We start from the raw sequence: 18,828 nt of genomic DNA on the forward strand, positions 1-18,828 counted from the left end.
GGAGGGGCCTGGTGGGAGGTCAATGGATCATGGGGGCAGAATTCCCCCTTGCTGTTCTTTTGATAGTGAATGAGTTCTCATGAGATTGGATGGTTTTGAAGTGTGGCACTTCCACCCCAACTCCACCCCTCTCTCTCCAGCTGCCATGTAAGATGTGCCTTACTTCCCCTTTGCCTTCAATCATGACTGTAAGTTTCCTGAGGCCTCCCCAGCCATGCAGAAATGTAAGTCAATTACACCTTTTCTCTTCATAAATTACCCAGTCTCAGGTAGTTCTTTACAGCAGTGTGAAAATGGACTGACACAGAAAATTGTTACTGAGAGAGTGGGGTACTGCTATGAAGATAACTGAAAATGTAGAAGTAACTTTTGAACTGGATAACAGGCAGAGGTTGGAAGTTTGGAGGGCTCAGAAGAAGATAGAAAGATGTGGGAAAGTTTGGAACAACATAGAGACTTGTGGAATGGTTTTGACCGTGTGAACCCCAAATATCTGAGACAGGTCTCAGTCAATTTAGAAAGTTTATTTTGCCAAGGTTAAGGACACACCCATGACACATCCTTAGGAAGTCCTGAGACATGTGCCCAAGGTGGTCTGGAGTACAGCTTGCTTTTACATTTTATACATTTTAGGGAGATATGAGACATCAATCAATATGTGTAAGGTACATTGGTTTGGTCCTGTAAGGTGGGACACCTCGAAGTGTGGGCTTCCAGGTTAGAAGTAGGTAAGAGACAAAAAGGTTGCATTATTTTGAGTCCTTGATCAGCCTTCTACTGAATACACAATTTAGTCTGGCTCTGTGAATCTGTATTTTTACATAAACAGTAGTGGAGAGGAAGCAATCAGATATGCATTTGTCTCAGGAGAGCCTCAAAGGGATGACTTTGAATAGAATGGGAGGCAGGTTTGCTCTAAGCAGCTCCCAGCGTGACTTTTCCCTTTACCTTAGTCATTTTGGGGTGCCAAGATTTATTTTCCTGTCACAACCAAAATATTGATAGTAATATGGACAGTGAAGTACAGGCTGAATGGACTCAGATGGAGATGAGGAACTTATTGGGAACCAGAGAAAACGTCACTCTTGCTATACGACTGGTGGCATTTTGCCCCACCCTAAAGATCTGTGGAACTTTGAACTTGAGAGAGATGATGTAGGGTATCTGGCAGAAGACATTTCTAAGCAGCGTTTGACATGTGACCTGGCTGTTGCTAAAATTCTATGTTCCTATGCGTGAACAAAGAGATTACTTGAAACTGAAACACATTTAAAAGGGAAGCAGGCATAAAACTGGAAAATTTGCAGCCCAACCCGTCCCCATTTTTATTAGGACAAATTATAGTAGGACACAATTACCATCAAAATAAGTTTTAGTCTTATTATACTTAGCCTGATTATTTGCATAAAATACGACCAGAATAATTATTTGCCATATAGGCTCTTTCTAATTTGGCATTGCTGGAACCTTGTTCTAGAAGGAATCTCTGATTGGACTTTTTTTTTTTTTTTTTTTTTGAGACGGAGTCTCACTCTGTCCCCCAGGCTGGAGTGCAATGGCATGATCTTGGCTCACTCAACCTCCACCTCCCGGGTTCAAGCAATTCTCCTGCCTCAGCCTCCTGAGTAGTTGGGATTACAAGCGCCCACAACCATGCCTGGCTAATTTTTGTATTTTTAGTAGAGATGGGGTTTGGTCATGTTCTTCAGGCTGGTCTTGAATTCCTGACCTCAGGTGATCCACCCGCCTTGGCCTCCCAAAGTGCTGGGATTGCAGGCATGAGCCACCACGCCCAGCTGATTAAAAGCCTTGAGTCCACCTATGAATTTATATTGTGCCTACAAATAGCTATATAGATTGAGTGAATTCCTCTTTTCTTAAGGTTCCAAGATAAATTGAGGATTTTAAAAAAGTGATTTTTTACTTACCACCAGTCAGGAGCCCCATACAAGGACTGTGTAGACAAGTTATGAGGGCAGTTTCCACAAGGAGCTTTTGTCATCTCTATACATCAACTTTAATTCCTTAAGGCATTCTGTTTATATCTGAAAGTATGCCATTCTGTTGATAAAATATAACCATATCTTTGGTAAAATAACTGGTGTCTCCACTTGTGTTCTGTTACGAAAGAAAACAGATAAACAGATTCTTATTGCACTTATGTAAAAACTGTATCTGCATATGTTAAGAATATACACAAATAGTTTTCAAATTTTGGTGAAATCTGATTGAGAAAAAGAAGGATGCTCCACATTTTGCTCACAAGAGTTTACCTTACTCAATTGTTAAAAGCTGTAAATAGCTCAAGAGAAAAGTATTTTCTTTACTGTGAAAGCCAAAGCAAAAATAATCAGCATTTCAAGCAAAAAGTCATAAATCTTCTATTAATAGATTCTAGCTGAAACAAACAGGCAGTATTTCTGGCTCTGAACTTTACCAAAGGTAACTTCCCATGTGAAAGCCATAAGCCTTAACTAAGATTATGACTTAACCATGGATGCATGAGGTGTCTTAAAGAGATGGCAAGCAGTTTTTAAAAGATTTAGGATATCCCCAAAGATAGCTCAGAGAGAGAAAAATTCAAGACAGAAAGTCAGAAGATGTCCATGCAGAGAAAGATAATCAATAAGTGGTGAAAAGTCTCCAAATATCACACCAGAAATGACTTATTATTTGACCTGAGAATCAAACCCACGCTGCTGCAATAAAAGGGCAAAACCATAGTTACTGGCTGCAGTGTGGGGCAATACTGTTCATTTTCCCAGAAACAATCTAGAAGAGGCAGCTCTGAGCTTGCAAATGATTTTAACTCTTCCAGAGAATTTTTAAGTCTAGCCGTGACATTACTACTATGTGTCCTTTCAGATTAACTGCCTGCATTAACCCCAAAATTCCCACCCTCCGTATGTGGAAGACCAAGGAAGAGTACCCTTAAAGGGTTACAAAGTCAACTTCTCAAAGACAAGAGGGAAATCTCATCTTTTTTATCAGGGACCCACAGCAAAGTTTGTAACTGACCTGTCTGCAGGGCCAGCTTGAACACCAGGCATATGGGAGTCCTAGGCCCACATTCTATCCTGTGGTACTTCTCTCCATGACAGATTGATATAGAAAGACCAAAAAACTAAAAAAAAAAAAAAAAATATTTTTCCCTATTAAGCAAACCTTGCAGAGGAGATAAACAGTGATATTTCCCATTAATTTGACTGGTTTGCACAGAGTGGCCAGATGCCTGGCTAATTAGTAATTCTTACCCTTTTTGCCTCCTTGCCAGTTTTCCAGGTTCCCTTTCTCTGCAGCTTCCAGGAGAGTGGAGATGCTTTTGATGAGCCTGTTTGCTGCACCATAGCTGTGGCGGGGGCTAAGCTATGTTACAAAAGAAAATCCGTTTTCATTTAATGAAACCATAGGCAAAAGCCTCTCAATTTTGCAATATGCCACCCAGTGGGCTGCAAGGAGAACCAAATTAACATCTTCCATTTTGGCCGGAGCAAAATGCATATGACAAAATACAAACACTTGTCACTCCACTTAGCACCCAGGTATTAACCTGGCGAAGCTCAAACTTGTACCCATTGTCCCCTGTCGTCTGTGATCCACTCAAAGTGGGGAGGGATGACTTCTGACCAGGAGTTTCAATGGGAGGTCTCCAGGCAAGATGAAAGTGTGGATGGTCACCCTGAGTTAGTTCTGTTCAGCTCCTGCTAACAATTCCTTAAGGGCTCACCAAATGTGAGTGATCAAACTAAGCAAGACTGCTATCAGCAGTTCCTTCAGAGATCTCCCCATATACAAACACACATGATGAAATAAAGAAAAACAGAGGGCCTTCCAAACCAACACATCTGACTAGATTCCAAACCAGAAGAGTATTCCTCCAACAAGTCCCCCGTTTCCATCTAACGGGGGATAAGTCGTCCAAAACCGAGACTCTTCCTACAATTTAGCGAGAGATAAACAGTCCCCTTGACCTGGCTACTTTGCCTTGAAGGTCAACAGAGACTCTTTCTACAAACTTAGAAAGAGTTGGACAGTTTCTACGATGGAGCTGCAATGCCTCTAAGGGGACCAACAAATCAGGAGAAGGGGAACACTCACCAAACCAGGTTAAAAGGTGTCTTCCAGGAACTATCCATTGCAATTTGATCCATGCATTATGGTCAACAGTAGCTCACTGGTAGAGAGTGTGCCAGAGGCAGTCTTTAGTTCAAGAGACCTAGGCGGACACTTGCTGGCCTCCAGTCTGCCACTGGTGAGGGGCTGCAGAACCATGGGCAGGTACCCACAAGGGCTATCCCAGATGAGCTCCTCAATTTGTAATGGCCTCATGGGTTCATTTCCGCTGCTGCCCAGATAGAGCCAATTTATCAAGACGGGGAAATTGCTATAGAGAGAGAATTTAATACACATAGAGGTGGCTAATGGAAGACCACAGTTTTTTATTACTCAAAACAGCCTCCCCAAAAATTCAGAGGCTAGGGTTTTATGTAGAGAGTTTGGTGGGCAGGGGGCTAGAGAATGGAGAATTTTTACTGGTTGGGTCAGGGTTGAAATCACAGGGAGCAACAGCTGTCCTTTGGCATTGAGTCAGTTCCTGGGTGGGGGGCCACAAGTCCAGATGAGCCAGGTTACTGGTTTGGGTAGTACCAGCTGATTCATCAGAATGCTGGGTCTGAAAAATACTGCAAACACCAATCTTAGGTTTTACGATATTATTGTTATCTCTAGGAACAATTTGGGAGGTTAGTAATCTTGTCGCCTCTGGCTGTGTGACTCCTGAGCCATACTTTCTATTCTTGTGCTTAATTTTTTGGTTTTACAAAGGCCATCTGGTCCCCAAGCAATGAGCAGGTTTATTTCATTGAGGGGCTTTTATTATCTTTTTTTCAAAGCTAAGCTATAAACTAAATTCCTCTTAAAGTTAGTTTGGCCTTTGCCTAGGAATGAACAAGGGCAGCTTGGAAGTTAAAAACAAGATGGAGTCAGTTAGGTCATATCTCTTTGGGTGTAATAATTTTCTCATAATTTTTTAAAGGTGATTTCAGGATAAGAATAATGTACATGTTCCAAAAGAGAGAAATAGACAAAATTTAAAATGTAACAGGTCCCAAGCAAGTTCAAAATCCAGCAGGGTCAACATTATATGTTAAACCTGGAATATATTTTATTCTCTGTATCTGACTTCTGAACACACTGGGGTGAGGGTTGGACTCACAAAACATCAGGCAGTGTTATTCTATGACTTTGCTTGGTAGAGTCCCCATGGGTGCTGTACTGGTTGCAGTCAGCTACCTCAGGTTTTTCCCAGGCAGGCATTGCATGCAGACTCGACACTTCTGGGGTTCTGGCAGTGGTACCACTTCCTCTGCTTCACTAGGCATTACTCATATGAGGACTCTCTGCAGGGACCTCACTTCCGCGGCTTCGCTTGGCATTGCCCTGGTGAACTCTTTTTTTTTTTTTTTTTTTTTTGAGACGGAGTCTCGCTCTGTCGCCCAGGCCGGACTGCGGACTGCAGTGGCGCAATCTCGGCTCACTGCAAGCTCCGCTTCCCGGGTTCACGCCATTCTCCTGCCTCAGCCTCCCGAGTAGCTGGGACTACAGGCGCCCGCCACCGCGCCCGGCTAATTTTTTGTATTTTTAGTAGAGACGGGGTTTCACCTTGTTAGCCAGGATGGTCTCGATCTCCTGACCTCATGATCCACCCGCCTCGGCCTCCCAAAGTGCTGGGATTACAGGCGTGAGCCACCGTGCCCGGCCCCTGGTGAACTCTTTGCAGCAGTTCCAGTTCCACATTTGTGTTTGGTATCCCTCTATAGAGGGCTCTCTTCAGTAGATCTGCCCTTATCACAAGTCTCTAGACTACCAGGCTTTTGAAGAAATCCTTTGAAATTTGTGGAGGCTGCCAAGACTCCACAGTTCTTCATTTCTGTAAGCCTATATAATTATCACCACATGATCACCTCTAAGGTCTGGGCCTTATACCTTTCAGAGCCAGATCACCTTGGGCATTTGAGCCAATGCAGCTGGAATTAGCACCCTGACGTGGTACAGGACAGTGGCCCAGCCAGCCTGTCCCCAGAAGTCCTTCTGTCTTCCTAGGCCACTGGGCCTGTAATGGGAAGGGCTGTCTGGAAGAAAACTGAACTGCTGTGTGGCCTCTCTCTCATTGTCTTGTCTATTAACAACTGGCTCCATTTTAGCCATGCTAATCTCTGGCAAGTTGTGGTTCTGACACCCTTAATTTTTTCTCCTGCAAATGCTCTTTCATTCTCTCTACCACATGGCCAGGCTGCAGTTTTCCACAATTTTTTTTGTACTTACATTTTCTCTACCAGTTCACCTTAAGTGGTTAGAAGTAACCACACTACAGCCTGAACCCTTTGCACCTTAAAAATATCTTCTGCCAGATTCCCCAGTTCATCACTCTGAAGTTAGTCCTTTCGCAAAGCCCTTAGCCATGAACGCAGTTCAGCCAAGTTATTTGCCAATTTTTAACAGAGATGTTCTTGACTCCAGTTCTTGACTAATACTTTTTTCTTTGTTACATCAGAAATCTTGTCAGAATAGCCTTTACTTTCCATATTTTTATCAGCAGTCTGGTCACAACCACTTTGTCAATCTCTAAGGACTCCTAAATTTTTCCTAGTCTTCTTATCTTCTAAATCCTCACAAGAACACCGGCTTTTTATATTCTGCCTCTCCAGATTCTTCTAGTCTCTGCCCATTACTGAGTTTCAAAGCCACTTTCACATTTTCAGGTATTCTTTTTCAGCAATGCCCCACTAATTGTTACCAGTTTTCCATATTAGTCCCTTTTCTGTTGCTTGTAAACGAATACAAAAAAAAACTGGGTAACTTGTAAAGAAAAAAAAAGTATTTCTTACAGTTGTGGAGGCTGGTAAGTCTAAGGTTTAGGGGCCACATCTGGTGAGGGCCTCTTGCTGGTAGGGACTCTCAGAAGAGTCCTTAGGCCATGCAGGGTATCAGCTGATTGAGGGTCTGAGCATGCTAGTGAAGGTCTGTTTTTCTCTTATAAGGCCAACAGTTGCTCTCACATGATAATCCATTAATATGTAAATCCATGAATGAATGGATTCATCCAGGAGGCTATAACTCCTGCATCTTTCAAGTCCTTGATGGTGGTGGTAATCTCTGCAATCCTTCCAGGTATATGGTTATGAATGTGATTTTCCATTTTCCTAGGTAGAGGCAGCTCTAGTGCCTTCCATTTAGGCTTTCACCATACTAGCCCTCACTCCACAGGTCAGGGAACCAGTGTGGGAAATGTGCCAGGAGCTAAGTTTGTCTATTACAGCTATGCATCTGGAACTGGGGAAATCACCAGAGTAAGTGTTTGGGGACCCACTGGCCCCACTGTGATTTGATTTAAAACTTGATTAATCACTTAACCTTCATAATCACTTACTCTGACTGGGTGGTCCACAGTGATGTTTTGGGTCTTCTGGAATCAATGTAAGTTCAGAGCAAGTGTCTAGTAGTCCCCTAAAAGTTCTTACTATATTCATTTCCATAAAACACATTTACCCTGGTTAAAGGTTGTAGGTTCCTTTGGGGAAGGATAGGAGAAGACTAACAGTATAAAGTTTTCATGGTATACCTTGGTCCTTCATCAAGGGGACCTAGTTTCCACTTCATTCAAGGCATTCTTGACTGTAAGCTGGCTCAAGTCTGGGATTGAGTATGGGCTATGTTTCTCTACTTTTATGATTTGAATTAGACTTTTGTTCACTTAACCTAAATGTTTTCAGTCTTTTCAGGTCGATTAAGAAAGTCTTAGGCTTCTTACCTATTTCATTTCTAAGAACACCATGTGGCCAACACCATAGATCTACTTGAGTCAGACTAACCTGAATATTCCCTTACCTTTGATGACTATGATGGTAACTATGCCAATCTTGACTTTGAAGGTTGGCAGCTACCGAATAGACCCAGGACCCCTGGGATCCAGTTATTCCCAGTGCATTTAAATTTTCCTGTTGAGTGACTGTGGTTCTCATTATAAGATTCAGCCTACAGAGAAGAGCAATCAGGAGGTTCTTTAGGGATGCTTGGGCTCCACTCACAAATCTGTTTCTCACAGCATTGGTGAAAGGTGTGTCTTCTGGCCCCTCCAGGTGTGGCTGAGTAGAATTTCAAATGTCAAATGCACTCTAGAGTCCCATTCATTCTAAGCCTTTGAATCTCTTCCTCTACATTAAGTCAAGGGAGATCAGGCATATCCAGCTGGATGAAGGAGGGCCACCTTTTGATTCATGATTCAACCAACCAATCAAACAAACTGTTAAAGCCCTTTCTAACTACCATACATTAAAACCACAATCTTTGTATAATGGGCCCATATAAATAAATTTGGCTTGATCCAACTTTATGTTTCCTCCACCACTATCCCAACACTTAATATTCTTTTCCACACGAGTCCCACAGATTTGGTTATACAAATTAGAAAACTGAAATTGTTTTCTTGGACTGTAATGAACCTCCCATGGGTCACACATATAAGGTGTATCACCTTTAAAGGCCTACTGGAACTCAGGACTAATGATAGGTCTAGAAGGAAAACGAGGTGGGTCCTGAGGAGAATCATCATTGCATTACTTGGCAACTGCCTCCGGGAAGTCCATTACCTTTTCTCAGTTAAGCCTGGGTTAATCCCTTCAGACAGAACTGCTTATACCAATGAAGACGGGGAGACCACTGCCAAGGGGGTGGGTTTAAGGGGCCACTTCTGCTGGCAAAGAAGACATCAGAATTTCAGAGCCCAATGTCTCCAGCCTCAACATGGTCTCCCCAAATGTTCCCAACCCAATTTACAGGGTCCCATTCTTTCCTAAACAGTGCTCTAAATTTACAGTAGACACCATGCTAGGCTGAAAGTGCAACTTTCATTGTAATTTAGCCAATTGCATGGCATGGGATTGCATTTGATTTTCAGCATTTTCATCCCTGTGACTACAGGAGATACAATTCTAACCTCAGAGCATAGATAGAAGCTCTGTTTTTTATGTGGAGCTGGATTCTGAATTTGAATCTTTTAGCTTCTCTTTTTTATTTTTCCCTTTGCTCAGCAACACTAATAGCAGAGTCCTTAGTTTTCCATAGATGTTTGAAGATATGCTATCAAGAGTCACTAAATGCCTTGCCTGTTACCAATGGTTGATTAGGAGTGCCAAAGGCAGATGTTTGCATGTCACTTAAGCAGTTCATGATGTGGACTATCAGTGGTCTCCATACTATTAGAAGTCTTCAGCATTTTTACTTATCATCAGGTTAGAGACCCAATTTTAGAAATCCCCAAAACAAATAAATAAAACATCCTTACGATTCTGGCTCTCTACAGCCATTCATGGTTTAAAGAAAAAAAAAATCTGTGTTAGTGTCCTCCAGAGAGACAGACCAATAGGATAGATACATAGATTGGCAGATGGTGGAGTAGTAGCATGGCTCATTCTAAGGCTGAAAGTCTCAGAATGAGGAAAGTTGACAGTGTAATTCTCAGTCTGAGGTCAAAGGCCTGAGAACCTGAAGGGTTGCAGAAGTAAGTCCTGGAATCCCAAGGACAGAGAGCCAGTAGTTAAGGTGTCCAAGGGCAGGAGGCAGAGAATGTACCAGCTCCAGGGGAGAGGGAATGCAAAATCATTCTCACTTCTTTTTTTTTGTTCCATCTGAGCCCCCATCCCACTGGATGGTGCTTACCCACATAGAGGGTGGATTGTTACAGAACCCAACTCAGGTCTGTTCACACAGATATCTACACTGACACTTGCGGTGGGAGAAAAAGAGGTGTTCAATTGAAGAGTGTCAAACAAGGAGGATCAGGCAGCTAATGCTTAGATTTCTACCTCCCCAATGTCTTGTACATAAGGGTTTTTAATAGCAGGGTAAATTTCAGTAAAGTAGAAGTTACTGGTAAAATTATAAATCAATACATGGAGGTTACACATTGGTTTTGGCCTTAAAGGGTGGAATATCTTGAAGCAGGGGTCAAACAGAGGTTCATAGGTCATAGGCAGATTCAAGGATTTTCTAACTTGCAATTGATTAAAGAAGAGAAGCTTTGTTTTAAAACTTGGGGTCAGCAGAAAAAAAAAATGTTAGCTGTGACTCATGGATGTGACTCCCTCTAGGCCCCTCAGGAAGAAATTAAGGAAAAAGAATGGCAGTCAGAGTTCAGTCTTCAGGTCCCCCTTATTTGAGGTCTACATATCAGCAGATCCATTTGATGGGGGCCTAGGTTTATGAAAAATGACTCAGGAATATATGTTAAGATGTTATCTTTGGTTTCCACAGGGAACCAAACAAACGTCTCCTGACTCTAAAGTCCTTGGGCTACTATTACCTTCTTGCTTATCACTTTCCTCATGTACTTCTTAGTGCTAGCTAGGTACCGGGGATTTTCCTTGAAGGAACTTGAGATTTTCCTTTATTTCCCTGCTTGGGGAACCCAAAGCCTCCTCACAGGGGTCCCTGATCCATCACAGTATCTTCCCCACTCTGTCCACTGACTCACATATCAGACTTTTATGATAAAACCCTCACAGACCCAGAAGTAATTCTTTGCCAGTGTTCTAGGTATTCCTTAATACAGTTAGTTGACTCCAAAAACGAAATATCACAATTGGGTTTTGGAGTGTTACCTAAGCAGGTTTCTCATGAGGGGTTCAAATTGGTGAGTTAAGGTCAAGCAAGCATGATTTCCAAAGACTCATGCTGTGCCTGAGAGGTGGTTACTGCAGAATATCTGTGCAGTTCCCACAGGGGTCAGTGTGGGTGAGATAAGGGTTGTGTCCAGCTGTTCTACATGCAGTAGTCACCTGGGGGAGGTTTTATAAGGCGATATCTGGAATGACTACATTGAGGACTTAGAGGAGTGTGCAAAATGGAAACGCCATGGATTTCTAAACCTCGTTTCTGGTATTAGCAAGTCAAACCTATATCCAAAATGAAGGACTAGGCATTATAAAATTAAAAGAATTCACAGCAATATTTAAAATAGAAATTTGAGTAGTTCACTAATAACACTGATATCTCTAATCCTGGGGTAGAAGTTAAATCAAGTTGTTCAACTTTTCCTCAGTAATAGACCAGAATACATAAGATGAGACACCATGATTTTATACTGAGAAAGAGGCAGTCACAAAGAAAAATAGTGTGTTTTATTTGTTTTAAAGGGCATATTTGTACATCTTTCAAATAGAGATGTATCATAAAATTAATGTTGTTAAAAACACGATTGGTCAGAAGACAGGCATAATTTGATTGCTTTTTTGTGCACACATATAAACTTGGTGTAAAAAACACTTCCATTTTCACATTCTGGTGATATCGTTAAACATTAGAACTTGCAGAGTGATATTGGTAGATCAGAAAAATAATCTAACAGAAAGTTTTATGGTACTCTCGCAATAAGTGTGGCATCAGCAAAGCTTCTAGTCATCAGAGATGATGCTAACATAAGAGAAATCATGGACAAGGTGAATTGAAAAGTGATTCAGAAGAGTTTGATCTAAGTATGTGACATTTTAGAAAACACTTGTTACCTATTTTCCTTTCTTTTTTTATCTTATGTGATCATAGGAGTGATATAAGACCATTACCCACATTTATGTAAGTTCAAAATAGTTATTTTCAATATATATGTATTTTCTAAGTGATAAAAAGTTTCTGTGTTACAGTTTTTCAATGGTTTTGTGTTTTTATTGTGACATAAAATAATGTTGTATTTTTATAATTGATGCAAATGATACTTACAGGTGCTTGTGATAGCAACAAAAGGCAGAGAAATTCTAGGCAGACAGAGGTCCCTAGTAAAGCCCCACCCTCAAGCAAAAAAGCCTGAGACTGTGGTCCAAAGTGCGAACTTATATACCTGTTTTCCTGCTTGAATGTTACCTTTTCCTAAACCACCCATGGCCCACCCCACCCCATCCTGTGCCTATAAAAACCCTAGACTCAGCCAACAGAGAGAAGCAGCTGGACATCAGGGACTATGGCTGGATGTAGAAGAGAAGCAGCTTGACTTCAGAGGGACAGCTCGATAGCATAACTTCAGATAAGAATTCAGGTGGAGATGGCCAGCCTTCAGGGGAAGATTACCTGCCTCCCCGTTCCCTCTTCAGCTCTCCTTCTCAATGAGAGCCATTTTATTAGCAATAAAATCCCCCACATTTAGCATCCTTAAATTTGTTTGTGCAACCTCATTTTTCCTGGATGCCACACAAGACCTAGGGAGCCTCAAGTGTGTATACAGAAGGCTGTCACACTGGCCCTTTGCCCTCGCTGGTGGAGGGCAGCCACCTCACATGAAAAGGCAGAGGGCCCACTGAGCTATTAACACTTAGGCCACCCGTGGACAGCAGAGCTTAAAGACAACTGTAACACACCCTCTGTGAAAAAAAACACACACACGTATTCACATGCTGTCGTATAATTTTTTTTCTGAAAATACATCTTACTTTCCCTAAAACTTTGCATGTATCTAGTAGATTTAACTACATATATTAATTGTAATTTTAACTGTCAGCAACTCTGATTTTTAGTGAAAAACCTAAGAAGTAAGCATTGTTTTTTTTGTTTATTATCAGATGCAAAGCCCAGGACAAAAGGCAGAGATGCAGATAATGTCTCACCCTTCCCAGTACAGTCAGAGGGCACAGTTGGGCTAAGAACTCCACATATCCCTTGGACTTACTATGGCTACAAGCAAGACAAGTCAAATAATTATTACCAATATCACAGGAGCAGTTTACAGCCTTAAAGCATCTAGCTAAAACAGTATCTGACCTGCTTGACTATTCAGACAAAATATTTAAATAATTCTAAAGACATTTAAATTTTATTTTTACCAAAAATTTTATGTTTTTGCCTTTTATTTTAGGTTCGGGGTACGTGAGTAGGTTTGTTTTATAGGTAAAGCGTGCGTCATGGAGGTGTGATGCACAGATTATTTCATTGTCCTGGCAATAAGTGTGGTACCCAAAAGGTAGTTTTTCAGTCTTCTCTCTCTTCTTACTTTCTACCCTCAGGTAAGCTGTAGTGCCTTTTGGTCCCTTCTTTGTGTCCATGTGTTCTCAATGTTTAGCTCTCATTTATAATATGTGAGAACATGCAGTATTTGGTTTTATGCTCCTATATTAGTTTGATGAGGATAATGACCGCCAGCTCCATCCATGTTGCTGCAAAGGACATGATCTATTCTTTTTATTGCTGCATTGTATTCCATGGTGTATGCATACCACATTTTCTTTATCCAGTCTTCCATTGATGGGTATTTAGGTTGATTCTATGTCTTTGCTGTTGTGAATAGTGCTGCAATGAACATACCCTGCGTGTGTTTTCATGGTAGAATGATTTATATTCCTTTGGCGTATACCCAATAATGGGATTGCTGGGTCGAATGCCAATTCTGCTTTAAGTTCTTTGATAAATCACCACACTGCTTTCCATAGTGGCTGTACTAGTTAACATTCCAACCAACAGTGTATAAGCATCCCCCTTTCTCCACAACCTCACCCAGCATCTGTTATTTTTTAACTCCTTAATAATAGTCATTTTGACTGGTGTGAGATAGTATCTTATTGTGGTTTTTGATTTGCATTTCTCTAATGATTAGTGATGTTGAGCATTTTTTCCTATGCTTGTTGGCTATGGGTATGTCTTCTTTTGAAAAGTGTCTGTTTATGTCCTCTGCACTTTTAAAAAATTTTATGTGTGCGTGAGATAGAGTCTCACTCTGTCACCTAGGCTGGAACCCAATGGTGCAATCATGACTCACTGCAGCTTCAACCACCCATGCCCCCAAGTGATTCTCCTACCTCAGCCTCCTGAATAGCTATGCACCACCACACCTGGCTAATTTTATTTTTCTGTAGAGACGGAGTCTCACTATGTTGCTCAGGCTGCTCTCAAACTTCTGGACTCAAGCAGTCCTCTTCCCTTGGCCTCTCAAAGTGTTGACATTATAGGTGAGAGCCACCACACTCAACCGTTTGCCCACTTTTTATGGATGCATAGTTTGCAAATATTTTCTCTCATTCTACTCTGTTGATAGTTTGTTTTGCTCTGCAGAGCCTTTTTAGTTTAGTTACATTCCATTCATCAATTTTTGTGGTGGTTTTTTTTTTTGTAATTGTTTTTGGTGTCATCATCATGAAATCTTTCCCAAGATCTGTGTTCAGAATAGTTTATTTTCCTAGGTTATCTTCCTGGGTTTTTATAGTTTTGGGTTTTATATTTAAGTCATTTTTCCATCTTGAATTGATTTTAATATTAAACATATGGTATGAAGAAGGGTCTAGTGTCCATCTTCTACATGTGGCTAGCCAGTTACATTAGTACCATTTATTGAACGTGGGAGTTCTTTCTCCATTGCTTGTTTTTGTCAACTTTGTTGAAGATCATCTGGTTGTAGGTGTGCGGAATTTTTTCTGTGCCAATAATTTTTAAATTAGCTTTATTTACTAAAGATTATTAAAGTCATTTGAACTAAAAGACATTTGAGTTATTTTTTATTTTTCTGATAAAATATTGGAGCTAAACACTTTTTATGCCAATTAATTAAATCTTTTATATATTTTGCTAGTGAATCATCACATTTATATGACACTTACAAATTCATAGACATACGCATAGTCAGAAGCAGATCGTAGAGATTTATGAAGAGTTTGTATTTGAAGTTTCTTTCACCTCCTTTAGATGAACAATCTTTTTCAACTACCTATTTCATTGCCCTACACAGTTGTTGGCTAGGTGACCTTAACTTTGCATTTCTAAAGGGACAACTCTTAGGTGAAGTAAGAGAGAATTTATATCTTGATGACTTCATGAGTTTTGCAGGTACATGGATGAAGCTGGAAATAGTGACTGAGACAGGTCTAAATCAATTTAGAGTTTGATTTTGCCAAGGTTGAGGATGCACCCACGAAAAAGAAACACAAGTTACAGTAGGGTCTGTGGCCTGTGCTTTTTCCAAGTGGGTTCTGATGACTTCAGTATTTAAAGGGGAAAAAGTAGACAGTAGGGGAAGGGGGGAAAAAAGGAAAAAGTCGAGTAGGCGGTGAGGCAAGTGGTTACATTTTTTGTGAGGCATTAATTAGCACCCATTGAATCCACATTTTATGTTTCAAAATAGAGAAGTGGAGGGAAAGTCAATTATGCGTTCATGTCATGTTCTGTAGATCTACATTTTGCAAAAGATTAAGTAAACATGTATAATTACAGCTCTCTGTTTGGGGACAAAAGGAAGTCTGTTTGCATGACTCAGTTCCCAAGCCTAATTTTCTCTTGAGCATAGTGAGTTTGATGTCTTTATATTTTATTTTCCTTTCACATGTGCTATTAGTTTACACAATACCCAAAATGTGTAGACTAATAGCATACAACATCTCAAGAGGTTGACACTACTACCTTCTGAAAGTTCTAGCTCTGAATCTGAGCTAAATCCCTACAGGAAAGGAAAAGAACAACCTTGAGCTTGACACGGTGTCCTTACTCACATCAACTATGTTAGAATAACATTTCTCATAGGCTAAATAGTTTCCAGGTGCTTTTTAAGATTACCTACCCTATTGTAATGAATTTATTTTCCTAAATTAAATTCTGAATACTGTAATGAATTCTTCTTTTTCATATATAGGTTATGAGCCACCTGAAATTGATTTTGTGCATAAAATGAGTTTAAAAGTAAATTTTATTTCTCCAGATGAATATTCAATATCCTGAAATGCATATTTAAAATTCATCTTTTTTCATTACTTTTGACTTTGTTTATATATGCATGTGTCATTTTTTCAGCTCTGTTGTTGTTTTCATTAGTTGATTTCTACATCTGTCTTCAAATACTATACTCTTTCATTTTTTGAAGAATTCCTTTCACACTCTCCAGAGCCCAGAATTTTCCCTCCAGAGACTGTTCTCTTCATGACTGTGATACTGAAGACAGGAGAGTAAAAACTTCCATGCCTTGCACCTACACCAATATTCCCAGTTGTATTTTGAAAAAAGAGGAGGTTATAGAACTTATGGAGACAAAAGTGACCCGTCTTGGATACTAATCCACCATGTTGACTTCTGATTAATGCCAGTCCCATAAATGCCTTCTGATTACTCATTTATTTGTTTAGTGTAAGATCATGTCAACCTGGATGTTATTGTATGAATTTTAGGCTATGGCACATGTAGCATCCTTGTGTGTTCTGGAAGGTTGCTTTTAATTGTCCTGCTGAAGCATGTATACCTTTTCTCTGTGGAGTATTAGCCCTGGGTCTACAGAGTAACAGTGTGAACATCTGCCTGTAATGTGGCCACCTAAGGCTGTGCTTCTGCCTATAAGTTCCCCCAGTAAATTAACCAGTACTGACAAACTGGATTTTCTGCCTCCTTGTTTGGTTTCTCGGCCCCTTTGATGTTTAACGCTCACTTTGTACATATGGCCCTTTCACAGAACAAATGGTCAGCAAGGAGCAGTCAAGAAACCAAAGTACACACAAGGGAAAAGAAGCAGTCACAGAGGAAACTTCAGGGGTAGCCTTGCTCATTCATGTTGGGTGGTGTCACCCATTTGCTATATGCTTGTGGACTACTGTGAAAACAGGAGTACCCCTAAAATGCTGCAGGGTCTAGAAAGCTTGTTAGTAAAAAGTGTGGCTCACTGTGGTAACAAAAGTTGCTGCACAGTGACAGCAGTGAGTTTGCTACTGTTATTTTCTATGTGAGTGTTCACAAAAGCACAGGTGCAGCTGAGGCGAGTGTAGGGAAGCTGGGAAGAGAATCACAGTGAGAAAGGGATGTGAGAACTTCCACATCTTCATTAATGTCTGGTTTTCTGGATAAGCTTGAAACTCAAGAGGCACAGTTGGAAACCGTACCTCGCCACTTTGTATGTCTGGGAGAGAGAAAGCTGTGCCAGCTGAATTTATGGGCTGTCCTTGTCAAACCATGCTGGGATGCAAATACCTGGAATTCTTGGGAACCAACTAGATGATGACATAGAGGTTAACTCAAAAATAGGAAGATCATTATTCTTCCCATTTGAGAGTGAAACTCTTCATGCAGTGGAAAGCAAAATTCAAACACACACAGGCCTGGGCAGGATTATTGGACACAGCCAAAACTTTTAAACAGCTGCCAAGACAAAGCTTTATGTATATGAATGGTGCAGCTATGGGACACTGGTGTGAATGGTATCTCTCTAAATGGGAGTAAAGCTAAAAAAAAAAGACAAAGTGCCCCCTAGGAATAGCATGTCCCCTTTTGTGGGGGACAAGATATGGGGAAAGCCATTTGTGATTTTGGAGAAACTAGTAAGGAAAGAGATGAGCTCTGACTGGTTACTGAAGAAATGAGAAAAAGGGAGAAACAGTCTACTGGACTGAAAAAGGGAGGTCAAAAAGGCCATTAGGATTAGTAGGAAACAAATGTGGTATGATCTGATTTCAGCTGGGGTAGACAAAGATAATATGCATGGGCAACCCAATGCCATATTGGTGGCCTTTGGAAAGTCCTGACTCCCAATCAACAGTTTAGACCCCTTCCTATTACCTACCAAAAGAGGGAGAATGAAAAGAAGAAATTCTGGGTAAAAGAACACCAATCTCTGCATTTAGGGGTGGACTCCTCTGCAGCCTGGAGATCGTGGGTGGGGTCAGGGCTGCCTCTGTGTAAGAGCAATAGGGGGCAACCAGAGGCCCCATTTGGAGCTGACTTTCGGAGTCCAAAAAAGCACAAAAAGAACCTTCGCTTTAGTGGGCACAGGTGCAGATTGTATCTTAATTCATGGAAATCCAGAGAGACACCCTGGCAAGTGGGGAGCTATACATGGTTGTGGGGTAAAAAATCTGAGTGAAACAAACCCCTCTCCTCCTTAGTTTTGTCTGGAGTCCCTCCTTGCTTACTCTCCTTCTGTCTTTATCTCACTTATTTCAGAAGACATCTCGGGTATGGATGTCCTTTTAGGATGAACTCTACAAACATCTGTGGGGGGATTCCACCAATGGGTTTGGACTGCTGTGCCAAATATAACTCAAGTTATTGAGCAAATAATACAAAACATAGGCACTTATCATGCTGTGTTAGATTTAGCTATTGCCTTCTTTAGCACCCCTTCATCCTGACTCACAGGCATTATATCGATAATATTCTAACTTCTGAAGACTTGTCATTGCTACAGCAACACCGAGATGTTTTGTGCACCCTTCTTCAATCCAGAGGTTGGGCCATCGACCCACAAAAGATACAAGGCCCAGAACTGGCTGCAAAATTCCTCAGGGTCACTTGGTCAAGTAAGACACACCTATTCCAGGCTTAGTCATTGAGAAAATTCAACAATTTTCCATGCCAAAAACAGTTAAACGGATACAAAGTTTCCTGGATCTTTTGGGATACTGGTGGGCTTTCATCTCATATTTAGCTCAATGTTTGCATCCCCTGTACTCACTAGTTAAGAGGGGATCTAGTTGGTTCTGGGATAAAGAACTAGAAGAAGCATTTGAGAAGGCTAAAATATTAGAGGCTTGGGCACAAGCCTTAGGTTTCCTTCTTACTGGGATACAAATATCTTTAGGTGTGACCATAAATCCTGAAGGGACAAGAGAGATCCTCTGGCATGTTCAGCATAGCAAAGCAGTTCTTCTAGGATTCTGGTCACAGCCTTATGGGAGTATGCTGAAACCTACCGTTCTCAAATTAAACAGCAGGTCCTGGGAGTGTGTAAAGCCTTCTAGCATATTGAACCTGTAACTGATCATTTGCCAGTAACAATGAGAACAGATCTCTCTATTAAGGGCTGGATGGAAGGGTTGTTTTTCAAGC

The sequence above is a fragment of the Homo sapiens genome, chromosome 15 (assembly GCF_000001405.40).
Source record: "Homo sapiens chromosome 15, GRCh38.p14 Primary Assembly".
Taxonomy (NCBI): domain Eukaryota; kingdom Metazoa; phylum Chordata; class Mammalia; order Primates; family Hominidae; genus Homo; species Homo sapiens.